This window comes from Homo sapiens, chromosome 20 (genome assembly GCF_000001405.40).
Source record: "Homo sapiens chromosome 20, GRCh38.p14 Primary Assembly".
NCBI classification, from domain to species: Eukaryota; Metazoa; Chordata; class Mammalia; order Primates; family Hominidae; genus Homo; species Homo sapiens.
The window spans coordinates 47251872-47279535 of NC_000020.11; the positions used below are offsets into that span (position 1 = coordinate 47251872).

The 27664-nt window shown below is 45.7% G+C and overlaps 1 protein-coding gene across 19 annotated transcripts in view, besides 5 other annotated features; it reads right to left on the reverse strand.

Annotated features, from left to right (window-relative positions):
- ZMYND8 (zinc finger MYND-type containing 8) overlaps positions 1–27664 on the reverse strand; it is a 147486-nt gene that overhangs the window by 42658 nt on the left and 77164 nt on the right. For 17 of the 19 annotated variants that reach the window (NM_001281771.3, NM_001281782.3, NM_183048.4 and 14 more), the window contains 2 exons: positions 24443–24924; positions 10417–10557 (listed from right to left, as the gene is read on the reverse strand). In NM_001281771.3, the coding sequence (NP_001268700.1) occupies positions 10417–10557; positions 24443–24924 (623 nt within the window). The remainder of the gene's footprint in view (positions 1–10416; positions 10558–24442; positions 24925–27664) is intronic. The other 2 variants (NM_001281781.3, NM_001281784.3) reach the window with 1 other exon arrangement.
- Positions 1326–1826: an enhancer, noted in NCBI's record as "H3K27ac hESC enhancer chr20:45881941-45882441 (GRCh37/hg19 assembly coordinates)". NCBI's record gives its function as "activates a minimal SCP1, AML or CMV promoter by ChIP-STARR-seq in primed H9 embryonic stem cells {active_cell/tissue: H9 hESC(primed)}" and the evidence as "EXISTENCE:reporter gene assay evidence [ECO:0000049][PMID:30033119]".
- Positions 7224–7333: an enhancer, noted in NCBI's record as "active region_17982". NCBI's record gives its function as "activates an Ori minimal core promoter by ATAC-STARR-seq in GM12878 lymphoblastoid cells {active_cell/tissue: GM12878}" and the evidence as "EXISTENCE:reporter gene assay evidence [ECO:0000049][PMID:35858748]".
- Positions 7714–7853: an enhancer, noted in NCBI's record as "active region_17983". NCBI's record gives its function as "activates an Ori minimal core promoter by ATAC-STARR-seq in GM12878 lymphoblastoid cells {active_cell/tissue: GM12878}" and the evidence as "EXISTENCE:reporter gene assay evidence [ECO:0000049][PMID:35858748]".
- Positions 23973–24473: an enhancer, noted in NCBI's record as "H3K4me1 hESC enhancer chr20:45904588-45905088 (GRCh37/hg19 assembly coordinates)". NCBI's record gives its function as "activates a minimal SCP1, AML or CMV promoter by ChIP-STARR-seq in primed H9 embryonic stem cells {active_cell/tissue: H9 hESC(primed)}" and the evidence as "EXISTENCE:reporter gene assay evidence [ECO:0000049][PMID:30033119]".
- Positions 24474–24974: an enhancer, noted in NCBI's record as "H3K4me1 hESC enhancer chr20:45905089-45905589 (GRCh37/hg19 assembly coordinates)". NCBI's record gives its function as "activates a minimal SCP1, AML or CMV promoter by ChIP-STARR-seq in primed H9 embryonic stem cells {active_cell/tissue: H9 hESC(primed)}" and the evidence as "EXISTENCE:reporter gene assay evidence [ECO:0000049][PMID:30033119]".

Below are 27664 nucleotides of genomic sequence, written 5' to 3' on the forward strand. Positions count from 1 at the left end.
CCGCCATGCAAGCCTCCAGGTGTAAAGTGGCAGCCTTGTGTGTGATCTTTCTGCCCTCCCCGAGTTTGCATTTTTGACACTAAAGTTTACTTTTAAATTAAAAGTTTATTTAAAAAAAAAAAGAAAGAAAGAAAAGAGAAATGCCGGGCGCAGCAGTTCACGCCTGTAATCCAGCACTGTGGAAGGCCAAGGCGGGAGGATCACTTGAGGTCGGGGGTTCAAGATCCGCCTGGCTAACATGGTGAAATCCCGTCTCTACTAAAAATAAAAAAATTAGCCAGGCATGGTGGTGGGTGCCTGTAATCCCCGGTACTCAGGAGGCTGAGGCAGGAGAACACTTGAACCCAGGAGGCGAAGGTTGCAGTGAGCGAGATCGCACCACTACACTCCAGCCTGGGCGACAGAGCAAGACTCTGTCTCAAAAAAAAAAAAAAAAAAAAAAAGCCCAGATTAAAGAGTTCCAGTAGGCAGGACTCAAGGACTTAACAGCTGAGTTGCATGCAAATGTGACAGCAAAGGGGGAGGGATTTGAGGCCTCCCTCGGAATTTCCACTTTCAGAAATGAAGAAGCATGCTAGATTCCAGAGGGAAAAGCCAGCCTTTTCAAGAATAAAGATGGAAACGTATACTCACAAAAATACTCTCCATGGCTACCCAAGTGACACATTCATCAGTGTCCTCAATATTCCTATATACTACTAGAATACACAGTTAACGAAAAAATTTACAAAAGAGACCAACAAACTTTCTTTGTAAAAGCCTGGAGAGGACCGGGAACAGTGGCTCACACTTGTAATCCCTGCAATTGGGAGGCTGAGGTGGGCAGTTCCCTTGAGCTCACATTTGAGACCAGCCTGGGCAACATGGTGAAACCCTGTCTCTACTAAAAATATGAAAATTAGCCAGGCATGGTGGCACACGCCTGTAATCCCAGCTACTCAGGAGGCTAAGGTGGGAGGATCGCTTGAGCCCAGGAGGCAGAGGTTGCAGTGAGCCGAGATCAGGCCACTGCACTCCAGACTGGGCAAAAGAGCCAGACCTTATCTCAAAAAATAAAATAAAAGCCCAGAGAGTAAATATTTCAGGCTTTGCAGGCCATACAGGCTCTGTTGCAAAAGCAGCCATGAACACTACATAAACAGATGGGTGTGGATGTGTTCCAGTAAACTTTATTTGCAAACACAGGTGGGGGCCAGATTTGGCCTGAAAGCCGTAAAATCTGCCATCTTCTATACTAGTCCAGTGACTGCCAACCCTGGCTGCACACCAAAATTGCCTGTAAAGTTTTAGAAAATCCTGAGGCCTGAGCCCCATCCTCAGAGACTCTGACTCAATTGGCTGAGGGGAAGGCCTGGGCATCAGCCTTTTACAAACTTGCCAGGAGGTCGAGCGCAGTGGCTCATGCCTGTAACCCCAGCACTTTAGGAGGCCAAAGCAGGTGGAGCACCTGAGGTCAGGAGTTCAAGACCAACCTGACCAACATGGTGAAATGCCATCTCTACTAAATATACAAAAATTAGCCAGGCATGATGGCACCTGCCTGTAATCCCAGCTGCTTCGGAAGCTGAGGCAAGAGAATCACTTGAACCCAGGAGGAGGAGCCTGCAGTGAGCCGAGATCACACCACTGCACTCCAGCCTGGGCAACAGAATGAGACTCCATCTCAAAAAAAAAAAAAAAAAACCACACCAACAATAAACTTGCCAGGTGATCCTAATTGGCAGCTAAGGCTGAGAACCCCTGTATCAGACCAATCTTCTATGTGAGTAAAGAAAACTCACTATTTGCCTTAACTCCTGTGTGTGTGTTAACAGGACAACCTTTCTAAACCTTAGGGTCCATAAAAAGAGACCTAGACCTCACCTGAATAACTGAGCTCTGTGTGTGCACCTGCGTGTCTACACGTATGGCTACAGTAAATGCGACCCATTAACTTTAGCCTAAAAAGACTGAGCACTGGAATGTTCATAATCAAGAAAAATGCAAAGAAGGTAAATTCCCTCATTTTACAAACTGAGGTTTCTCTGGTCAGTAAGCTGCTGTTATGTTTATTCTTGTTAGAATAAACCACCAAATGGCTAGGGGCTGGGCCCAGGCCCTGGAAGCTGACCTTCAGGAGTTTAGCCGAATGTAATGATCTTTATCCAAACCTGCAGCTGCATTTGACTCCCCCCTCCTCCGCAGAGAGAAAACAGCTTCACTTTCTCATTTAGCTCATGTAGCTTATCGGGACTTCTTCCACCCCTGCCCTTCTATATCGGGAATATCTTCAGAATCCACCCTTGCTGCCAACATTTTGAACTTTTCAGCTGATATGAAGACAGCTTAGGCTATAAATGGAAACCAGGGATGAAAAATACTCACGCTAGAGAAAAAGGCACGATCTTACATTTCTGGAGGGAGCATAAATCAGAACCACCTCTTTAGAGGGCAGTTGGGCGATACCTCTCAAAATGTCGCCGCATGTGGCCTCTGATGCTCAATTCCACTTCTAGGAATTTATCCTATGGATTACCCTCCCACGTGGGCAAAAGGGTTCTTCATTGCAGTTGTCTTCAATAGCAAAAATGGAAAGAAGCGTAGCGTCAGTAAGTAAGGCGCCTGAATAAATGTTACAGTTTACCTTTAAATGGAATTAAATACAGCTGCTAAAATGAAATGAAGGCCGATTTCTGTGTGTTGATATGAAAAGCCAACCTGTTTCATGAAAAAGCAAAGACTGGTGGAGCACCTTAGCACTGCTGTAGGGGAGCCAAGAAGGAAATGGAAAATCGCTGGGAAGGCTATATATTCTCAGGGTTTCTCAACAGTGGCACTATTGATATTTGGGTCCTGGATAAGTCTTTGTGGTGGGGGTGGGGTGGGGTGGAGGGGCTGTCCCGTGTGTTGTAGGATGTTCAGCAGCACCCTGGCCTCTACCCCCTAGATGCTATTAGCACCTACACACCAGTTGTGACAATAAAAATATCTCCAGGCCAGGCGCAGTGCCTCATGCCTGCAATCCCAGCATTTTGGGAGGCTGAGGTGGGCAGATCACTCGAGGTCAGGAGTTTGAGACAAGCCTGGCCAACACGGTGAAACCCCGTCTCTACTAAAACCCCATCTCTACTAAAAATACAAAAATTAGCCGGACGTAGTGGCGCGCGCCTGTAATCCCAGCTACTCAGGAGGCGGAGTCAGGCAAAGGTTGCGGAGAGCCAGATCATGCCACTGCACACCAGCCTGGGCAAACAGAGCGACGCTCCATCTCAAAAAAATAAATAAAACATAAAAATATCTCCAGACACTGCCAAATGTCACCTGGGAGACAAAAACCATTCAGAACTCATGCTATATATCTAGAAGGGCTCTAGAAACTAAAAACTTGCAACAGTGGTGACGTGCAGGAACAGGGGTATAGAGACAGGTGGTTGGAGGTTACAGACACGCTGGCCTTTCATGAAATGTCCTGTGCTTTGAAATTTTTGTTACCATATGTACTCATTACTTATAAAAACAAACTCTATAAAAGAAAAATTTAAGAACTTCTTTTTCCATTTAAAAAAAGAGAGACAGGGCCGGGCGTGGTAGCTCACACCTGTAATCCCACCACTTTGGGAAGCCGAGGTGGAGATATAAATATATATATCCACCATATACATATACATATGCATATGGTGGATATATATACACACCATATACATATACTCAGTGTGTGTGTGTGTGTGTGTGTGTGTGTGTGTGTATATATATATATATACACACCATATACATATACTCAGTATATATATACCATATACATATACTCAGTATATGTATATGGTGTATGTGTGTGTGTGTATATATATATATATATATACCGTGTATGTGTGTATATATATATATATATATATATATATATATATATATATATACGGTATATATATATATTTGTATGTGTATATATATATACCGTATATATATATATTTGTATGTATATATATATACACACACACACACCATATACTGAGGTCAGGAGTTCGAGACCAGCCTGGCCAACATGGTGAAACCCTATCTCTACTAAATACAAAAAATTAGCCGGGCATGGTGGCGTATGCCTGTTATCTCAGCTGCTTGGGAGGCTGAGGCAGGAGAATCACCCGAACCCAGGAGGTGGAGGTTGCAGAGAGCCGAGATTGTACCATTGCACTCCAGCCTGGGCAACAAGAGCAAAGCTCTGTCTCAAAAAAAAAAAAGACAGATTTTTGTTCTAAAGCTGAACGCAAACTACAATGGATGGACTTCCAGGAACTACAAAATGTCAGTTCCTTCAAGGGAGCAATATCACTTAGACAAAAGACCCTAGCTGGCCAGGCATGGTGGCTCATGCCTGTAATCCCAGCACTTTGGGAGGCTGAGGCAGGAGGACTGCTTGAGGCCAGAAGTTTGAGACCAGCCTGGGAAACATAGCGAGACCCTGTCTCTATATTATTTTTTAAAAAAAGAGAGGCCGGGCACAGTGGCTCACGCCTGTAATCCCAGCACTTTGGGAGGCCGAGGCGAGTGGATCACGAGGTCAGGAGATTGAGACCATCCTGGCTAACACAGTGAAACCCTGTCTCTACTAAAAAATACAAAAAATTAGCCAGGCATGGTGGCGGGCACCTGTAGTCCCAGCTACTTGGGAGGCTGAGGCAGGAGAATGGTGTGAACCCAGGAGGCGGAGCTTACAGTGAGCCGAGATCGCGCCACTGCACTCCAGCGTGGGCGACAGAGCAAGACTCCATCTCAAAAAAGAGAGAGACCCTGGCAGACACTATCTTTCAGTCAAAGCCAAACAGAGATCTTCCCCACCTCATTCACTCTAAAGAAAATCAAGACAACATCTGAAAAATCTGGGCCCAGGCACTCCATGTATGCTCTCAAAGAAAGCCCGACTTCCAAGATACCGCTTTATGCACAAAAAGAAAGGATGCCTCCTGTCATTAACAGTGGAGAAATAAACAGAAAGTCTCGGGGTGTGACGACGTTCCCTGGCCCTGCCTGCATTTTCAACAGAGCATCAAGGCGCATTTCTGTCACTAACAGGACTACTGACTGCTGAGTTTCTTCAGCTCAAAGTAAACACCCTCTGTGAAATAAGAGGAGATGGGATCATCAGAGAAAGCAAACAGGAGTCTGGAAGAAGAAAAGGACCGGGCCCACCTCTTCTCTTCTAGTCTCAGAAACTCATTCCTATTTATGACTTATTTATAATCACTGCTGAGTCATACAGGGGGCTCGTAATAATCCACTGGGCTCAGCTCCTTGTTTTTTAGTGAGGAGAGGAAAGGCCCCAGACAGCAAATGAGGGGAAACAGTGAATTAGCAACCTGGGCAAGAACCAGGTCTCTGTACAAACCTTCCCATCTTATACCATATAGTCATATACCATACACACACACAAATACCATATACTCATATACCACATATACATATACTCATATGCCATATACACAAATACACATACACTCACCATATACACACATACATACACACAAATACCATATACTCACATACCATATACACATTTACCATATACTCATATGCCATACACACACAAATATATACCCATATACTATATGCTCACCATATACACACACGCAAATACAACACACACATACATACTTATATACCATACACACACATACATATACTCACATATACCCAATATACAAACATACCCATATACCATATACTCATCATATACCATACACACATACATATACTCAAATATACCCATATACCATATACTGTCATACCATATACACACATACATATACTCATACCATATACCCAATATACATACATATACCATATACACACATACATATACTAAAATGCCATATACTTATATACCATATATTCTTAATTATAGTGTAACAGTATAATATAATTACAGTATAGTATAAATAAAAACTGACAACCTATGGACTATTTTTGTATTGTTGGTTGTATGTGTTTGTCTGGCCCAAATAGAGTTTTGGGGTTTTGTTTTTGTTTTTGTACCACAGGGTCTCACTCTCTCACCCAGGCTGGAGTGCAGTGATGCAATCATAGCTCACTGCAACCTTGAACTCCTGGGCTCAAGCAATCCTCCTGCCTCAGCCTCCCAACGTGCGGGAATTACAGACATAAGCCACCAAGCCTAGCCAGTTTTTGTTTTTAATGAAATTGATTGTCAGCTTTTAAAAACTAGGAGAGTTCCTGTAATAATCTAGAGTTCTGTTTTTCCTGACAATTCAGTCCGACAATGTGGGTTAAGCTGGCAAGAGCCACATCCTTTACAAATTTCAAAACTTCACCTTACCCCCTGACCCCCAAAAAAGCTGACGTATCCAATAGGCACAGGAGACATTCAGGTATCTCAGCTAAGAGCTCAAGCTTTGCAGCAGACAGGCCTGGGCCTGAAGGCCAAACTCTACCACAAACCATGGTTGATCCTTGGGTAGGTAACTTGCTTCTCTGTGCCCCAGTTTACACTTCTGTGAAACATAGATATTACCTACTTTAAAGGTTGTTGTAATTTTTAAAAAGTTTTAATTTACAGACAGCAAAATTCACTTTTGGGAGAATACAGTCCTATGAGTCGTAACACCTGCATAGATTCCTGTAACCACCACCACAACCAAAACACAGAGCAGGTCCATCTCCCGAAGAGTTCCCTCCCAATGTGTAGGCAAACCCTCCTGCACTCCAACCCCCAGCTATCACTCATCTGTTCCCCATCTCTGTAATTCTGCCTTTTCTGATATATTTTTTAAGGAAATCCTGTTTTGTTAGCTACAATAACTTCATCATTATCCAGGGTGCTCCCTTTCATTGTCCCTGTCTGGGGAAAGTCGTTCCACGGCTGACAGACAGAATCAAGCCCTATAAAGCATTTGTTCAGTCCCTGGGCAGTCACTGGAGAATTCCTTAACATTGCCCTGCTTGTTCTGATCTCCTCCCCACCCACGGCACTTCCATCGGTCCCTAGCTGATCCTCTTCCCGTTAGGTCATTGCAATCCCAGCCCACAAAACGCCCACATTCCCAATGCTCTTGTTCCTGCTGACGAAGATAAGAAATGTGTCCTGAACCGGAAGAGCTGCCAGGGGAGACACAAGAGGGCCTCGGTTCCCCTGGTGCTCACCCACCACCATGCCCACCCACCAAGACACACAACAGGAAGAAACCTTTCACTCCCACAACAGATCAAGCCAAACTGAAAGACCCACAGTGTCACGAGGAAGCCCAATGACCACCCAGTTTCAGCAAAGAGCTATTCTTGACAAGCATGACTGGCAGAGAGGAAATGTCACCGTGAGAACGCCTCCAAACAGCATTTCTTTTCAGGGTGTGGAGGTGGAAGGAGGGTGTGAGAAAGCAAACCACAGATTTGGGAACAATGAATGTTCCCAAGGAAGCACGTGTGTCCCTTTTCACTCAAGTGAGGAACCAACTGGTTGGTCTGAATGGGAGCCCCGAAAGCAACTGCCCTGACCATCCTATTACATCAGGGCTGTACTCACAGGTGAGCCAGGATTGGAGCCAGGCTGTGCTCCAGCCCTGCTGCCTCTGGGATCCTGGGCACCCCATGCCTCCTCTCCAGACCTCCCTCAGTTTCTCCATCTGAAAATGGCACTGTAGGACAAGATGGACCTGGAGGGCGCCAACCACCAAAGGCGTGGAATTCACACTTAAGCGTCACTGGGCACAGGTGGCCGCCCTCTCTTTCTGAAACCCCCATACTGGAGGCTCCAGGGCAACACACTCCCCTGGTGTGGCTACTCCACCCCTTGCTTCTCCTCCTCAACCAGAACTCCACATCCTCAATGTCCCAGGGGCCTCACTCCTGCTCAATGCTCTACCCCTGACTCGCAACCTCAGTAAGCCAATGGGGCTGGAGTCTTTGTTGAGTGAGGCTGTCCTATGCACTGGGGGATGTTTAGCGCAACTCTGGCCACCAATCATTAGATGCCAGCAGTGTCCCCATCACCCCCTCAAAGTCATTTCAAGAACTACCACTCTAACCCAATCCCACGTACACGTCAAGATTCCCAGAATTACACCTCCTGCCTGAACCTGGCCACAGGGAACCCTAATTCCTGCCTCCAGCTGCCCTATTGACCTCTCCACCTAGGGGTGTAACAGCTGCTCAAATTTACATAATCTAAACTAGACCCTTGGCTTCTCCTGCCATACCCAGATCTGTCAGCACAATTACTGACACAATCTAGAAATTCTCTGTTGGGGGCCCTGTTCTACATTTTGTAGGATGTTGGGTGGTATCTCCCTGGCCTCCCTCCATTAGGTGCCAGGAGCACCCCAACCCCAGGTGTGACAACCAAAAATGTCTCCAAACATTGCCAGTGGGTGGGGAAGTGTTACAAAATTGCCCCCAGATGAGAATGGTTGACTGATATGGACTATTTGAAACACAGCACCGAGGGCTTCTTCTGAGATGTGAAGTCCATTCACATCCCTCCTGCGCTGAACCCTCCATCCACACCAGGGTCTACGAGGCCCCCGTACTGTCTCCGACTCCACGGACTGGCCTCACCCTCACTCACTGGGATGCAGCCACCCTGGCCTCCTTGCTAATCCTACAACACACCCAGTTACTCCTATAGCACACCAACTTAATCCTAACCCTAGAGCCTTTAAAATCTCTTATTCCTTCTAGAATCTTTTTCCTCCTGACACTGGCATGGCTGATTTTTCTTGTCACGTAAACTTCAGCTCAAATATCGCCTCTCAAAGAGGCCCCGTTTAACCCCTCCACCTAAGTGAACTGTGACATCTGCTTCGCAACTTGCCCATCTCTTGCCTCATCACATTACCTTCCAGACATCCATCATGGTGTGAACTATCTTGGTGTGAACTGCCTCTCATGGTGTGAACTGCCTTGTTATTTGCCTTTATTATTTTCTCTATCTTTCTAAAAACCCAGCCTCTACAAGAGCAGGTCCTTAGCTGACTTGCTTTGTACTCTATTTCCATGCCTAGAATAGTGCACAGCACATAATAGATGTTCAAGAAAAATCAATGGTGAGGATGCAATGAATCAATCAATAATGAATCAACAGCAGCCGGGCACAGTGGCTCATGCCTGTAATCCCAGCATTTTGGGAGGCTGAGGCAGGCAGATCACCTTAGGTTGGGAGTTCGAGACCAGCCTGACCAACATGGAGAAACCTCATCTCTACTAAAAATACAAAATTAGCCAGGCGTGGTGGTGCATGCCTGTAATCCCAGCTACTCGGAGGCTCAGGCAGGAGAATCACTTGAACCTGGGAAGCAGAAGTTTGCAGTGAGCCAAGATCACGCCATTGCATTGCAGCCTGGGCAACAAGAGCGAAACTCCATCTCAAAAAAAATAATAATAATAAGGAATCAATAATGGGCCAGGTGCAGTGACTTATGCCTGTAATCTCAGCACTTTGGGAGGCTAAAGTGGGAGGACTGCTTGAGGCCAAGAGTTCAAGACCAGCCTGGGCAACACAGCAAGACCCAATCACTACAAAAAATTAGCTGAGTATGTAGCTAAAAACTAGCTAGGCCTGTAGTCCTAGCTACTCAGGGAGGGTGAGGCAGGAAATAGCTTGAGCCCAGGAGTTCAAGGTTGCAGTGAACTATGATTACACCACTGCACTCCAGCCTGGGTGACAGAGTGAGACCCCATCTCTAAAAAAACAGTTATCATCATCATCATCATCATCATCATCATCATCATCATCATCATCCAGGGAATAAAGACCAGAGTGTAAGAATTAGAAGAAGAGAATTAAGGAATATCAGAGTATGCTGCACATAGGAAAGGTAAGTACTGATTCCTCCTACTTGCTTCTGTGCCATGGGTATAATTTGCAAATAGAACTGGGTTAATGTGGTCAAGGACAACTGAGGTGGAAACACTGGCCTGGATAAAAGCACTTTGGGCCAGGCATGGTGGTTTATGCCCGTCATCCCATTACTTTTGGAGGCAGAGGTGGGTGGATCACCTGAGGTCGGGGTTTGAGACCAGCCTGGCCAACATGGTGAAACTCTGTCTCTACTAAAAATAGAAAACTTAGCCAGGTGTGGTGGCATACTCCTGTAATCTTAGCTACTCGGGAGGCTGAGGCAGGAGAATCACTTCAACCCAGGAGGCGGAGGTTGCAGGGAGCCGAGACCGCACCCTTGCACTCCAGCCTGGGCAACAAGAGCGAAACTCCATCTCAAAAAAAAAAAAGTAATTTGTATGTCAATAAGCCCCAAGAAATCCCTTACTTATTCTTTTCACAGATCTTTTCTCACCTTCATCCTCTGAAACTTTTGCATTTTTTGCATAGAGAAAAGAGTTGAAGGTTCAAGAACCACATACACAAGAGGATACGTCATTTGCAAAAATATCCACAGTTGCCACAGAAAGATACTGGCAAAAATTCTGACTGACCCAGGTTAAGATTCAGGATGCTGCCGGTGGTGGAGGTTTTGTCCGTTTTCGTCGTGATAGGAGCTGACAGTTGAGGAGAGAAGGGCTTTGGGCTGCCGGATAAACTCCCTGCTTGTCCCGTCTTGGTGGAGGCTGGTGAAGCTGAAAAAGTATGGCATTGTTAAAAGACAGGTTTACAAATAAACAAGTAGAACGTGTAGGTGTGGTGTAGGGAGAGAATGGAGAGATTATGAAATTGTGTTTGATTTCAGCAAGGCCGCTACAGTATCACGAATGGGGTGGGGTGGAGCATAGCAGGTTGGCCATTTATTTTCAGCAAAGGGCTTTAACCGGATGTGAAACCGTTAAAGCCACAAATGAAGAAGGTCTCCCCAGTTACTCTATTAAGCACAAAGCTCTAAGACAAATCGGCTAAGCTGCCACTGAAATTGGTTTGGCCCATTCACGGATATAAATCTCAACATAAATAGCGATTAAACCAACCCCCACATGGTCCAGATGTGGAGAACGGGAGCCAGGCTTACAAATGCGTATCATCTGTTTGTGGAAAGACACCACGGCCAGCTCACACGCAGCCACTGCACCTGCCAGGGACCAACTTGGCCCCTTGGGAAATCTCCAGCTCCCATTTCAAAGGTTCTTGAGGCTATGTAAAGCCAAACCCAGTACCAGATGGAGTGAGGGAGACGTTGGTAAATTATGTCCTTCTTTACTGTATTTCAAACTTTCACAGGAGGAGAGAGAACTGTACCTATGCCTAAGGCTTTTAAAAATACCTTAAAATGACCTACGACCTGCTTCTCCCCTGCCTCATTTCACAGGGTTAGGACAATAAACCACTTACGTTTAAAAAAGCAAGCATTCATAGGGGCCAACAAGCGTCCTAAAGATCCTTCAAATCCTGCCCCTTTGTCCTTGCCCCTCCATGGTACTGGGACTGTCCTGTTAATGCCTCTTGGGCCCATTTAAAAACAGCTGGGACTAAAGGCATCACTAACAACAATGACAGCCAACTCTTCCAAGATGAGCAAGAAACATTCTGAGTTGATCTGGTGCTGGAAAGAAATTTGTGGATGGCAAATTGGAGTTAGGAACTGAGACTCCCCAGGGGCTTCGAAAGTGCTGGGACACTTGTGTGGGCAGCACTTGCCTCAGTTTCCTCACCTGACAAATTAGAAAACTCAGAACAAGGCTTCAGTGTGTTGAAACTCACATACCACTCGGCTGGTGAATCCAAGTAAGCTAGGCAGCTCTGGTGCCAGGACCTGCCTGCATTACTGTTAATGTAATATAGTGGGAAAGACTCCAGAAGTAAAGAGGCCTGGATTCAAGCACAGATTAGAAGCCAGACACTGTGGATTCAAGCCCCGGCTCAGCTGTTGCCCTGCTGTGTAACCCTGGGCCAGTTACTGGCACCTCTGCCTCCCTCTTCCTGGCAGCAGCAAAGAGAGACACTAATAATATGATACAAAGGGACAATAACAGTAGCTACATCTCATCAGGCTGCCGTGAGGATTAAATCAATCATCTGAACAGTGCCTGGCATGCAGTAAGTACTCTGTTACTGTTTGCTATTAGAGTGGTTTTATTTTCTATTTCCCCATTAACCTCTAGGGCTTTGGGGTTATCCTCTGAACCACTGATTCTCAGCTATGAGCAATTCTTCTCTCCAGGGCACACTGGGCATTGCATCCAGACATTTTAGGAGAGTGGGGGGTTGCTACTGGCATCTAGGAGCTAGAGACCAAAACGCTGCTAAATCTGCTGCCATGCACAGAGCGGCCCCCCACAAGAAAGAGTTATCTGGCCCCAAACGTCAAAAGTGCTGAAACTGACACGCCGCATAGGGATGGAGTAGGCATGCAGCTGGGAATCCTTTTCCTCATCCGGGAATGATAAGGGAGTGAGGATCAATGTCGTCGATCTATGTCAATTGGCGCCGAGCAAGTGCTCAATAAATATTAGAAATTGTTTTAAGAAATAAGTTTTCTTTGCTTTTGTTTTTTTGAGATGGAGTCTCGCTCTGTCACCCAGGCTGGAGTGCAGTTGTGCAATCTCGGCTCACTGCAACCTCTGCCTCCTGGATTCAAGCGATTCTCCTGCCTCAGCCTCCCAAATAGCTAGAACTTCAGGCTCCTGCTATCACACCCGGCTATTTTTTATATTTTTACTAGAGACAGGGTTTTACCATGTTGGCCAGGCTGGTCTGGAACTCCTGGCCTCAAGGGATCCACCCGCCTCAGCCTCCCGAAGTGCTGGGATTACAGCCATGAGTCACTGTGCCCAGCCTATAATTAAGTTTTTAACACAATAAATCTGTTTTACTGCAAGAATTAATAGAATTGGCCTAGCACGTGGCATGCCACATTCCTTCACTGGGGGGGGCTGCTATATTATTACTAGTCCTATCACTGGTACTGTAAGACATAGAACTGAAGTGTTTGTTACACGAAGAAACAAGAATATGCCAGGTGCGGTGGTTCACCCCTGTAATCCCAGCACCTTGGGAGGCTGAGGTGGGAGGATCACTTGAGCTCGGAAGTTCGAGACCAGCCTGGGTAACATGGCGAAGCCTCATCTCTACTAAAAATACAAAAAATTTAGCCGGGCATGGTGGCACACGCCTGTAGTCTCAGCTACTTGGGAGGCTGAGATGGGAGGATCCATTGAGCCTGGGAGGTCAAGACTGCAGTGAACCGTGATCATGCCACTGCACTCCAGCCTGGGACACAGAGAGAGACCCTGTCCCCAAAAAAATATATATACATATATATATATATAGGCATTTTAACGGAAGTATTACCAATAAAATCTTTAGCATTAGAATTTTTAACCTTATTAATTCATTTATGTTCTACCTCATTCCAAAAGCAATTTGCAGCTGCTCAAATATCTGTGTAATAGATTCCCCTTGAGGATTAAAGACCGGGGCTTCTCTAATTGTATTCCCATAAGCAAACTGGCAAGGTCTAACAGGGAGGGCCTTACTATACTATCAAATACCCTGCTTGGGACTGCAGAGAACATTGACAAGGACGTCCAACCCTAAAGGGTAGCAGGAACAAACAAACAAAAACACGCAAAGATGCTGTTGCACGTAGAACACAGCCAAGTGAATCCATTTTCCTGCTCGACAGGTCAAGTTTGTTTGTTTGTTTGTTTGTTTGTTTTGAGACAAAGTCTTGCTCTGTTGCCCAAGCTGGAATGCAGTGGGGTGATCTCAGCTCACTGCAACCTCTGCCTGCCAGGTTCAAGCAATTCTCCTGCCTCAGTCTCCGGAGTAGCTGGGGCTACAGGTATGTGCCACCATGCCCAACTAATCTTTTTGTATTTTTAGTAGAGACGGGGTTTTGCCATGTTGGCCAGGCTGATCTCGAACTCCTGACCTCAGGTGACCCACCCACCTCGGCCTCCCAAAGTGCTGGGATTACAGGTGTGAGCCATCACGCCCAGCCTATTTTTATAATTCTGTATATACATTCATGTGTGCTAAAAAATTAATAACTAGAACAGGCCTTTAATTTGATAGATCTATTTCCTTTGTTAATAAATAAACAAGTGTTGAGATTTAAGAGGTATGTTCTAAATATTAAAAAATGGTTTTAAGCATAGCACTTGGATATGGCAAGAATAAGGGTGTCAGGAAAACATTGGTTTCCCATGGAGATGGGTCTGGTTCACACTCTACCCAGCCAGTGAAGGGCAGGGCCCATCCTCCTAAGGCATCTGGGACTGCAAAGCTTCATGGAGTCAGGAAAAGGACATACATGAGAGTCACTAGCAACCCACAAGCCTCACGCTGCAAAACCCTCCTCTGCATCTCCCTGAGAAACAGGTCTCCTATGTCCACCTCCTAGTGCCACCAATCCTACCTCCCCAGTGTGTGAAACACCCTGCACCTGCCTTGTCCTCCCAATATCATGAATGCCACGGCCACCCACCTGGTGGCTCAAGGCCAAACACACCTGGATCATTCTTTTTGTTTTTGGGGGGGAGGGGGGCGGGGAGAGAGATGGAGTTTCACTCTTGTTGCCCAGGCTGCAGTGCAATGGTGCAATCTCAGCTCACAGCAACCTCCACCTCCCGGGTTCAAGCGGATTCTCCTGCCTCAGCCTCACAAGCAGCTGGGATTACAGGCGCCCACCACCACGCCCGGCTAATTTTTGTATTTTTAGTAGAGATGGGGGTTTCACCATGTTGGCCAGGCTAATCTGGAACTGCAGACCTCAGGTGATCTACCCACCTAGGCCTCCCAAAGTGCTGGGATTACAGATGTTTGAGCCACTACACTCAGCCCATTCTTAATTCCTCCTTTGCTCTCATGCCTGAATTTACCCAAATCTTCAGGAAGAACTCTGCACTCCTCTTCCTAAACATATCCCAAATCTCTGCACTCATCTCCACCTCCCCTACTATCACCCTAGTCCATGCATCTCAACAGGGACCATATGGCCCCCAACGGGGCAAAAATAATTTTTAGGGGGTGAAAAAATCTTATCTTACTATTCCTTTTATGTACAAAGCACTCTGTGTGTGTGTGTGTGGTGTGTGGTGTGTATAGACAGTACATAAACAGATCTACAATATTTTCAAATTTCATGAAAGTTCACTCTTAGGTAAGTACCTATCCAAAATTGAAAATAGGTACACAAACAAATCCTTGGATACGAATGTGCACAAGCAGCACTGTTCACAATAGGCAAGAGGTAGAAACAACTGACTGTCCATCAATGGACAAACTGAAGTATCCCCACAATAGAACGTTACCGAGCCATAAAAGGAATGAAGTTCTGATACGTGCTGCAGTGTGGCTGACTTGAAAACATGATGCTAAGTTAAAGAAGCCAGACACAAAAGGCCCCATATTCTTTCATTTCACTGAAACAAAATACCCAGAATAGGAAAGTCAGTTCAAACAGAACACAAATTGGTGGTTGTTAGGGGCAGGCTGTGGGGTGAGAGGTAGGGGTGGAAGTTTGTGGGGGATGGGGAGTGGCTGTTTGGTGGGTACAGGGTTTTATTTTGGAGCGATGGAAATGTTTTAGAACTAGACAGAGGTGGTGGCTGCACAGCACTGTGAATGCACTAAATGCCACTGATCTGTTCAAAATGGTAAATTTTATGTTATGTGAATTTGACCTCATTTTTTTAAAAGATCTCAGGGGGAGTAAATAGGAAGAAAATGTCTAAAATGGTTCAGGGCCGGGGCGGGGGGGGGGCAATTAAAAGACTGGGCAACACTGCCCTGCCTATCATTTCCCATGGAGACCCCGTAAGCACTTCCCACAGGTCTCCCCACCATGTGCACAGCACCCTTCTTCCAGGGCACTCTCCACACAGCAGCCAGGGCAGAACCCCTGAAATGAGGGCATATTGCTCCATCACCTAAAAACATCCAGAGGCACCTCATTCCCCAGAATAAAATCCAACGTCCTCTCCAACCTCAAACCCAACCTTTCCTTTCTACCTCCTGGAATGTCCGGCCACAGTGACCTGAGGGCCACCCTGGAAGATCAAGTCTGTTCACACCTCAAGCCTTTGTGCCTGAGGTTCCCAAGGGAAGGCTTTCACGCCCACCCTAGATCACACTGGCTCGAATTCCTCCATGGTCAGGTCCCAGCTCAAACATCACCTCCTCGAAGGCCTCCCTTGTTGGCCACCTAAAGTGGCCCAGTGCCTCTGGCCTACTGTCTTTCCTTTTGACATGAAAATATTGGCCCTGAAAGAGCAGGATCTGCGCTGGCCAGCAGGCATCCAGGATACCTCTGGATGCTTATCAGGTGCATAATACATTCACTGAATGAGCAGTGCATAAAATAATTGAAGAAGGAGGTTTCCATTTCTCTTCTCACTGCTGTAGTCATGATAAGCAATAAACAAACAATGACGAGGCCGGTCGCAGTGAGTCTCGACTGGTCCAACACTTCGGGAGGCGGAGGCAGATGCATCACTTGAGGTCAGGAGTTTGAGACCAGCCTGGCCAACATGGTGAAACCCCGTCTCTTTTTTTTTTTTTTTTTTTTCAGAAGGGAGTCTCGCTCTGTCACCCAGGCTGGAGTGCAGTGGCACAATCTCGGCTCACTGCAGGCTCCGCCTCCCGGGTTCACGCCATTCTCCTGCCTCAGCCTCCCGAGTAGCTGGGATTACAGGCGCCCGCCACCATGCCGGGCTAATTTTTTGTATTTTTAATAGAGACGGTGTTTCACCATGTTAGCCAGGATGGTCTCGATCTCCTGACCTCGTGATCCGCCCGCCTCGGCCTCCCAAAGTGCTGGGATTACAGGTGTGAGCCACTGTGCCCGGCCCTGGTGAAACCCCGTCTCTACTAAAAATACAACAAGCAGTCAGGCGTGGTGGTACACGCCTGTAACCCCAGCTGTTCAAGAGGCTGAGGCAGGAGAATCGCCTGAACCTGGGATGCGGAGGTGGCGAGTGAGCCGAGATTACACCACTACACTCCAGCCTGGGTGACAGAGACTCCATCTCAAAAAAAAAGAAAAAGAAACAATGACAACCAGATAAAACCTTTTTCATACAAAAATATCAAACAATCTCCCCAATGTTATACACCTACTAAACACAAGGTGCTTGCTAAAAGAGTGATTAACAATCCAAAGAAGAGATATGACAAGGCCGGACGCAGTGGCTCACACCTGTAATCCCAGCACTTCGGGAGGCCAAGGCAGGCAGATCATCTGAGGTCAGGAGTTCGAGACCGGCCTGGCCAACATGGCAAAACCGCTCTCTACTAAAAATAAAAAACCAGCCAGGTGTGTTGGCACATGCCTGTAATCCCAGCTACTTGGGGGGCTGAGGCAAGAGAACTGCTTAAACCTGGGAGGCGGAGGTTGCAGTGAGCCGAGATCATGCCACTGCACTCCAGCCTGGGCAACAGAGTGGGACTCCATCTCAAAAAAAATAAATAAATAAAAATAAAGAAACAGATATGACTAAGCAGATCACAAAAAAATCCAAGTCAATATACATGAGGGTGTGGGTGGTACTGGCATGGAGGCCAGAGATGGTGCTCAGCATCCTAGGTGCACAGAACAGCCTCACAATACAGAATTATCTGGCCTTAAATGTCAGTGGTCCTGAGGTTGAGAAAAACCTGCTTCGAATCACTCCAGACATTTCAAAAGCAAAAAGACTTGGAAATGCTTGTTTCAATTAAAACTCTGAAACAGATGCCAATCCTTTTATAAAGCCATACATTTTGCCCAAAGGAAGAACTAATTGCCTCTGAAGTCACAAATAATTTTACCAGATTTCATATTTTGATGTACAATTCACAAGTGTGGGCTGAAACACATCATTTATTATCTACATTTACAAAATCCTGGCCTGCGTGAAGGGTTGTTCTGACTACAGTAGGAAACATGAGCCTTGGAATTAAATTAGGAAAAAAATGCCCTTTCCCTCCCATGCACCCCAGCACTCTGGGTGGGGTGGAAAGGCAGAGTGAATGATTCACGCTAAATGTCCTCCAGTTATAAAACCTCAGAAACAACCTGTATGTTCAAAGTGCCGCACCTTGCACAACTCCTATGGTGCCATGCACAGATGAGCAGAGCATGGCCAGATGGTCTAGGATGGGTCAGGATGTGTTGGTAAAAATGCTGTTTTGAAGGGTTATTCACTAACACAGAAACATATTCAGAATACAAGGCTATGGACCAGGCATGGTGCCTCATGCCTATTATCCCAGCATTTTGGGAGGCTGAGGCAGGCAGATCGTTTGAGCCCAAGAGTTTGAGACTAGCCTGGGTAACACAGCAAGACATCATCTATACTAGGTGTATAGCTAGGTGTGGTGGCGCACACTTGTACTCCTAGCTACTCAGGAGGCTGAGGCAGCGGGGACTGCTTGAGCCCAAGAGTTGAAGGCTACGGTGAGCCATGATCACACCACTGAACTCCAGCCTGAGTGATAGAGTGTGACCCTGTCTCTTAAAAAAAAAAAAAATCCCAGCTACTCGGGAGGCTGAGGCAGGAGAATCGCTTGAACCCAGGTGGTAGAGTTTACAGTGAGCCAAGATCGCACCATTGCACCCCAGCCTGGAAGACAAGAGTGAAACTCCATCTCAAAAAAAAAAAAAAAAAAAGTTTTTTTAATGTATAAAAATAAAAAATTAAAAAAGAATACAAGGTTAAGCTTTAAAAAAATAAATTCTACAGTCTACACCAGACATTGCAAACAGGTGATCCATGAACCAAGGAGTCCACAGGTGCATTTAATGTGATGTAGCTTTTATTTAGTTAAAAATGTGAGCCAGTACATAAAAGTTGATAGCTGGGTGTGGTGGTATGTGCCTGTAGCCCCAGCTACTCAGGAGGCTAAGGCGGGAGGATCGCTTAAGCCCAAGAGTCTGAGACCAGCCTGGGCAACATAGTGAGGACCCTGTCTCTGAAAAAAAAAAAAAAAAAAAAAAGAAAGAAAGAAAAAGAAAAAGCTGGAGTAGTTCCCATTTTTTTTAATTTGAGGGTTCTCTTGAAAAAACAGAAATCGGCCGGGTGCAGTGTCTCACGCCTGTAATCCCAGCACTTTGGGAGGCAGAGGCGGGCAGATCACGAGGTCAGGAGATCGAGACCATCCTGGCTAACATGGTAAAACCCTGTCTCTACTAAAAATACAAAAAATTAGCCGGGCGTGGCGGCAGGCACCTGTAGTCCCAGCTACTCGGGAGGCTGAGGCAGGAGAATGGCGTGAACCCAGGAGGCGGAGCTTGCAGTGAGCCGAGATCGCACCACTGTACTCCAGCCTGGACGACAGAGTGAGACTCCGTCTAAAAAGAAAAAAAAAAGAAAGAAAAACCAGAAATCTCTCAATACAGAGCCCATACTCCTATGTGGCAAGAACCAGCAGGAGGAAAAGGTCCCTGGTCTCTTTCAGAAAGGCACAACTCTCTAGCTCAGCGTCTTGGGAGCTCATGACCTATTAGCCGTGTGTAACACTTATGGGTAACATGGGTGTGTAAAACTTACCCAAGAGCTACTGACTCTTCTGACACATGGTGCATGCTAGCATTTGCCCTATTGTATTTCCTTATGAAAGAGCTGCTTATCATTGTAGCACTAAAGTAGCCCCAAGCTGCTGTAGTACCTCTAGCATGCACTATGTATCAGAAAAGTCCGCACCCCTTGGGTTAAGTGTTATACACCCATATGCACACAAAAGCACACGATGTGTAACAGGTATGGAAAGAAACGTATGTCTGCTTTCATTCATCCCAGTCTCTACCTACCACTCCCCAACCTCACTCACTGCCATATCTGCCTGATCCCTGTATTTGAGCTTTCAGCTTAACAGTAGGACTTATAACCACATATAAAAAGCGCTGGAAACACAATCTAAGGACTGGCTGTGAGAGGTGAGATTCTCAGTGACTTTATTTCATTGACTGATCGATTGAGATGGAGTCTCGCTCTGTCTCCCAGGCTGGAGTACAGTGGCGTGATCTCAAGCTCACTGCAACCTCCACCTCCCGGGTTCAAGTGATTCTCCTGCCTCAGCCTCCTGTGTAGTTGGGACTGCAGGCGTGTGCCACCACGCCTGGCTAAGTTTTTGTATTTTTAGTAGAGACGGGGTTTCGCCATGTTGGCCAGGCTGGTCTCAAACTCCTGACCTCAAGTGATCCGCCCACCTCGGCCTCCCAAAGTGCTGGAATTACAGGCATGAGCCACTGCACCCAGCCATCAGTGACTTTAAATTCTGTAATAAAGAACTAATTTATGACAAAAACATATTGATTTCACAATTATAAAAAAAGGGGGGGGGGAGTAATATGAAACCTCTTTTTTTTTCTTTGAGACAGAGTCTCACTCTGTTGCCCAGGCTGGAGTGCAGTGGTGCGATCTCGGCTCACTGCAAGCTCTGCCTCCCGGATTCAAGCAATTCTCTTGCCTCAGCCTCCCAAGTAGCTGGGATTACAGGCACATGCCACCACGCCCAGCTAATTTTTTGTATTTTTAGTAGAGACGGGGTTTCACCGTGTTAGCCAGGATGGTCTCAATCTCCTGACCTCGTGATCCGCTTGTCTCGACCTCCCAAAGTGCTGGGATTACAGACGTGAACCACCGCACCCGGACCCTCTTTCCTTTCTTAAATGGTAACTCACAGTGTAGCTACCAGACCAAAGGACCATTAGCCCAGAGGGTGGTGAATGTCAGGCCCCCCGACTCTGACCCTAATACATATTAATAACTTACATCGAGATCGCGCAAACAAATACCGGTGAAGGTAACCATTCTGGCCAGGAGGTCTATATAAAGGGGAAACTACAAAAATCACTCAGAATATTAACCACTTAGGCCACCTAGCTAGCAAGATTATAGGACACTGTGAGTTAAAGACTTCTGGCTGAGCAAAGTGCTTCTTAGAAAGCTAAATATCCAGTTCTAAGGATTATAGGCACACAGCTCTGAGTTCTCCAATCTTCTAAACAAAAACAAGATTTCTACACTGTTGTACAAGTTTTATGCAATAACATTTCAATCTGTAGTTTTATGTTACTGGTTACAAAACTTTCACTGGTGAGGCTACTATATTATTTTCTATTCTATGACATGGCAATTATTTTACACGATTTTGGGTGAACTACTGTCTTATCTCAATTATATTATCCTGACTGTGGAAGCATTTTAATACAAATTTCCCATCTCCCTCCACTAAATGCTATTATCACTGCTAACAGCAGATGGCAGTAGGGTGCAGAGAAAGGAAACAGGTATGGATGCAGAATCTGGCTGTGGGGACTTTCACACCTCCCTTACACTCTGCATGGCTCTCAATTTGCCTTCTGTAAAATGACTCAGTTTCTTCTAATCCTCTTAGTCTGTAATAGTGGTTGGCAAACTATAGCTCAAGGGTCAAATTGGGCATATCACCTGTTCCTGAGGGGCCTGCAAGCGAAGAAAGGTATTTTAACATTTTTTTAATGGTTGGGGGGAAAAGAATTAATAGCTCATGAAACATGCAACTTATATGAAATTTAAATTCCAGTGTCTGGACACCTCGGGAGACTGAGGCGGGTGGATTACCTGAGGTCAGGAGTTTCAGACCAGCCTGGCCAACATGGTGAAACCCTGTCTCTACTAAAAATACAAAGAACATCTGGGCATGGTAGCGCATGCCTGTAATTCCAGCTACTCAGGAGGCTGAGGTGGGAGGATTACTTGAACCCAGGAGGTGGAGGTTGCAGTGAGCCGAGATCGTGGCACTGCGCTCTAGCCTGGGCAACAGAGCAAGACTTCATCTCAAAAAATATAAAAATTTAAATAAGTAAATAAATTCCGGTGTCCATTAAAAAAGTCTTAACTGTCTACGGCTGCTCTATTTTCTTCTATCTAGCTAGCTGTTTATTGAGCTAGGGTCTCACTCTATTGTCCAGGCTGGAGTGCAGTGGCACAATCACAGGTCATTGTGGCCTCAAACTCCTAGGCTTAATTGATCCTCCCAGCTCAGCCTCCTCAGTAGCTGGGACTACAGCAGCTTGTGGCTACGTTACTGCAACAATGACTAAATAGTTGCAGAGTTGGAAAAAAGACCCAAAAAGCCTAAAATACATACTATCTAGCCCCTGACAGAAAAGGGGGCAATTTGTAAGAGTAAAATAATTTTCAATATCACTCTCTCTTCCTACACTACACATTGGCTAATTCATGATTAGTAAAATGACCTAAGCACATACCAGCAAGGAGATTATATTTTAGGAAAGGGACTTTAAAGTCTACTCAAATGGGGGATTCAACTAACTTCTCACCTAAAAAGCACTCAAAGAATGAGGTATATTTTTCCAGGAAGTCTGATGTCATTTATCTTTCTCCTTTTGTACCTCCCAAGGGAAGACAGAAGCTAAATTAAACACATTATCCCTGTTCTTATATTCCTATAAAACTGAATTTTTTGAAATGTGGTGCAGGAGAACCAATGGTCATATATATGCCATGTTTCATTTTACTAGTTATGTATTAATTTCACATATATTAGGAAAAGCCACAACAAGCAATTTAAACACACGAGCCTATACATTGTGTTTAGCTTAGGACAAAGCTGCATTACAATTTTCATATTTAAGTATGTAATAAAATACGGCAGAAAACCATGGCAATGAAAGTTCAGGCAACACTAATTCACAAAGTCGCTGCCAAGGTTAAAATTTTAAACATTTCCTGAAAAGCATGCTCTTTATGGGAATTAATGTGCCGAAGGATTGTGTAATTAAGTACCATGTTTTGTGAACTTGGCTTAAATGGAACCGTGTCATGAAACAAAGTAAGCTTTTAAGGACTCTGGTCAGAAACAAGGGGGTAAAAAGGAAGACTTTTCTGAAACTGTGTCAACACAAATTATGTCAATTCCAAAACAAAGCTCTATGACTCAACCATGAGTGTCTAGGACCACACAGCTATGAATCAGAACTAGAGAAAGATATAGACTGCAGCCTTTATTTTACAGAACCAAAAGCCACAGGCTCTCTCTACCCCTCCTACCACCATCTGGGGAGCAGCTAGAAGCAGTTCTTGAAAATAACCCAAGGAAAAGAAAAAAGAAAAAAAATTTCCCAAGAAACAACACAAGCAAAGTCAGTAGAATTATTTGAGTTCACAACTAAATCCTCATTATTTTAACTCTTGGGGACATTCATGGTATCCTGAAGAACTGATGCTTGCTCCTTAAAGAATTCCTGTGTGAAGGGAGTGAGGGAGAGAGGGAGGGAGAGAGAGAGAGACCAAGGAAGGAAGCGAGTGTGAAAGGCTGTCCAAGGCTTTAGGCCAGAAGCCTAAAGCTGGTACTCCAACCTGCTTTATTCATTCTAGAAAATCTTCCAAGACATCTTAAACTGACATTTAATAATTGGAGATTTTACTTAAAAACCTGACATTTAAGAATTGGAGGTTTTACTTAAAAACTCAGACTTTGGGCCAGGCCCAGTGGCTCACACCTGTAATCCCAGCACTTTGGGAGCCCAAGGCGGGTGGATCACTTGAAGTCAGGAGTTCGAGACCAGCCAGGCCAACATGGTGAAACCCTGTCTCTACTAAAAATACAAAAATTAGCTGGACATAGTAGTGCGCGCACCTGTAATCCCAGCTACTCGGGAGGCTGAGGAACGACAATCACTTGAACCCAGGAGGTGGAGGTTGCAGTGAGCTGAGATGGTGCCACTGCACTCCAGTCTGGGTGACAGAGCGAGACTATGTCTCCAAAAAAAAAAAAAAACACAACACAACTATTAAAGGATATGACCTTTAAGGGAATGGGATCACACTGGGAAGACAGAGTACTATTATTGTTTTTTACCTTTTTTTGTTTTTGTTTTTTGAGACAGGGTCTCACAAGGGGTCACACTTTGCCCAGGCTGGAATACAACAGCGCAATCATAGCTCACTGCAGCCTCAACCTCCCAGGCTCCGGCAATCCTCCCACCTCAACTATAGTCCCAGAGTAGCTAGGACTATAGACACACGCCACCACGACCAGCTAATTTTTGTATTTTTGGTAGAGACAAGGTTTTTGCCATGTTGCCCAGGTTGGTCTGGAACTCCCAAGCTAAAGCAATCTGACTGCCTTGCCCTCCCAAAGTGCTGGGACTACAGGCATGAGCCACGGCGCCTGGTCAAGTATTATTTTTTATCATATGTGTTTCTCTAAGATTTGCACTGTTTAATATGAATGTAGGGTTTTGACAGAAAAATACAATTTCAACTAAAACAAAATTATTTGTGTTATGGAAAGTCAATAATCCAAAATGCAGCGACATCTGAACAGAACTCCACAAGATTTCTGGCCATCTCCATCTACTTCTAGGTATAACCTCCAGGTGGCCTTTTGGGGACACTTTTCTCATTTCTGGGTTACTAGCAGCAAGAACTCCACTGGTGACTTCTTGAAAATCTGCTCTGTGGCCCCCTACAGTTCCCCACGATTGCTTGATGCTCACCTGCTTGGGCCCACCAAGTGTGCACCCATGGGAAACCCCCGTGTCCAAGGGGCCTCCTCCCCGCTCCCCCGCACGGAGCTGACCTGTGCTCTTATCCAGGAAGTCCATGGACTCCTCGCTCGCACTGAAGTGGCTCGACGTGGCCTTCTTCTCAGCATCCTGCTCCACGTCGGAGCCCGTGTGCACAGAAGAGTTTGTGCTCATGGGGGAGCGCGGCATATCCGACAAGGAAATCCGGCGGCCTGTGCCCCCACTCAGCACAGGCTTGCTCATCAGGATCTTGGGGGATGCCGTCATGTCAAAGTTGAGCTTGACCTTCTCCTGCTTGTCTATCTTGGCAGTGCCGGCGCTGGGGTTGGTGGGATCGAGCAGCATTTGATACTGGCTGTTGGGTGTGTAGGGTGTCCTAAATGGAGAGTAATTAAAAACCCCAAACTTCCTGCGGATGTTCTCCACGTAAACCTCCATCTCTTGCATGGCACTGTTGAAGATGCTCTTAGTCTTTTTCACAGAAAAAGGAATTTCTTTAGACATGAGGTAGCAATTATTTATTGGAACCCAGGCCCTAGAAGGGCAAAAGATAAAGAGAGTTTAAGTCAACTTCAGTAATTTCCAAGATTGCTTTTTTCTTGATGTGAACCAAATTAGCCAAGCATGTTTGCCAAGATTCTTATTCTATTAAAAAAAAAAAAAAAAAAACTTGGTTTGAAGGATTAATTAATGATCCATTTAACAAGCATGTTCTACCATAACAGAACATGAACAACAAAACTTCGGCGAAAACATTTAAAAGTGCAACAGACTTAGTCATTGTGAGCCACTAAAGAAACAATCCTCTTTGGTTTTCTCTTAGTAGAGAAAAATAAATCAGCCACTGCATCTGACAACACCTCTGAAAAGAGACTTATTCCTCAGGTTACACTCAGACATAAAAAGCTTCCTTTTCCCATTGCCATTTGAAATAGGAACAGAAGGAAACTTTGGAATACTGCATCCCTAAAAGGAGGTACATGTTTTTGAATGTAAGATAATTCACACAGAAAATCACTGAAAAAGGAGCCCATTCGCCTCCAGGCGTGCACTTTCCACCTCCCATCCCAGGCCAGTTCCATCTTCCTAACATCCATATCCCACATTCCAATTTTGCTCTGCAAAGACCCATGACAGCATGTTTTTGCAGAACAAACAATGCCAGCAGCAGCTTTTCTGGAACCAGAGCCAGTGGCCCCCGGGGGAGGTGCAAACACCACAACCGCTGCTGCGGGTGACCACGCAGCTGATACAGGGACATCCCAGAAATAACTTGGCTACCATGTATGATCTGCTGGCCTCAACCCAGTTTCTGGCTGGAAAAACTGGCGAGAATAAGCTTTCCAAGGAAGGCTTTTGTGGGGGATTTTTTGTTTGTTTAATTAATTCATTTTATTTATTTATTTATTTATTTATTTATTTATTTATTTGAGACAGTCTCGCTCTATTGCCCAGGCTAGAGCACAGTGGCATGATCTCAGCTCACTGCAACCTCCGTCTCCTGGGTTCAAGCAATTCTCCTGCCTCAGCTTCCCAAGTAGCCAGAACTGCAGGTGTGTGCCACCACGCCCAGCTAATTTTTGTATTTTTAGTAGAGACGGTGTTTCACTATATGTTAGCCAGGCTGGTCTTGAACTCTTGACCTCGTGATCCACCCACCTCAGCCTCCCAAAGTGCTGGGATTATAGGTGTTAGCCACCGTGCCCAGTCTTTTTTGCTTGTTTTTTTAAGAGACAAGGTTTCCCTCTGTCACCCAAGCCAGAGAGCAGAAGTATGATCAAGGCTCACTACAGCCTCAAACTCCTGGACTCAAGGAATCCTCCCAGATCAGCCTCCCAAGTAGTGGAAGTACAGGCACGCGCCACAACACACCCAGATAATTTTTTAACTTTTGTATACTTTTGTAGAGATGGGGTCTCGCTACATTACCCAGGATGGTCTTGAACTCCTGAACTCAAGCAATCCTTCCACCTTGGCCTCCCCAAGAGCTGGGATTATAGGTGTGAGCCGCTGCACCCAACCTCCAAGGTGGCCTTTTAGATTTCACAGACCACAAACTGAAGCCCGGTAGAAAGCAGTGGGGAGCAAAGGGGACTTTGCAGAAGCAGAAAACTCACGTCTGGTGGAAAGGGAGAAAGCAGTATCTACTCAGTTGCTATCCAAAGCAACCATGTAGGAATCTGGACCCAACACTGCCACGTTTTCCAATATTTTAAAGAGAAGAAGACAAAATAGACTTCTTATGTTACATTTTACCCCCATTTCAACAGTTGGCATCTAAGAGAAAACAACCCAGGAGAAATAAAGCACATCCCTGGGACCGAATTCACAATACAGGCGGATTGTTTGCAAGTCTCGGTGACACCAGATCGTAACACAAACTAAAACTAAACACCCCAAAAATATCGATCTGCTCTATCAGAGGGCTGGAAATCACCAGCTTCTCATCCATTCTGACTGCTGTCTTTCTCCTGAGACCTGAAGAACCATATCTCCACCAAGAGGGGCAGAGCAGAACAGAAGCCAGATGCTCTCAAGGTAAGAGTTTGCCTCACGGTGAGATTCTGCGTTCAAAGTGAGCGGGCACAGATCAGGACTACTAGACAGGACAGATCTGAGAAGGCATCAGGGTCTCCAGTGCTGTCCTAGGGCAAATGACTCCCCCTTCCTGAGCTAGCCTCAGCTCTGTCACCGAGAAAAAGGAGAGTGAGTCCTTCTCTGGAGAATCAAGAGGCAGGGCCACCAGGAGCTTATCACCAGTTGGTCCTGGTATCATAACCTCGCCCCCCTGACCTGCTCCACACCCACCTCACCCACACACTTCTGTCCGGTATCTAAGGCGCTCACTGTTCCCTTCCCCCAACTATTTTCCATGAAATTGCTTGGCAGGGAAGGAAAAGAGTCTCTTTTCTTTCAAACAAGTCCAAGGCTGGGCATGGTGACTCACACCTATAATCCCAGCACTTGGGGAGGCAGAGGCAGGAGGATCACGTGAGGTCAGGAGCTTGAGACCAGTCTGGCCAACACGGTGAAACCCCATCTCTACTAAAAATGGAAAAATTAGCCGGATGTGGTGGCACGCCCCTGTAATACCAGCTACTCAGGAGGCAGAGGTGGGAGAATTGCTTGAATGAGCCACTGCACTCCAGCCTGGGCAACAAAGCGAGACCCCGCCTCAAATAAATAAATAAATAAAACAAGCCTGGGTGACAGAGCAAGACCCCCCTCTTAAATAAATAAATAAATAATAAAACAAGCCCAGGAAGTATTTCAAG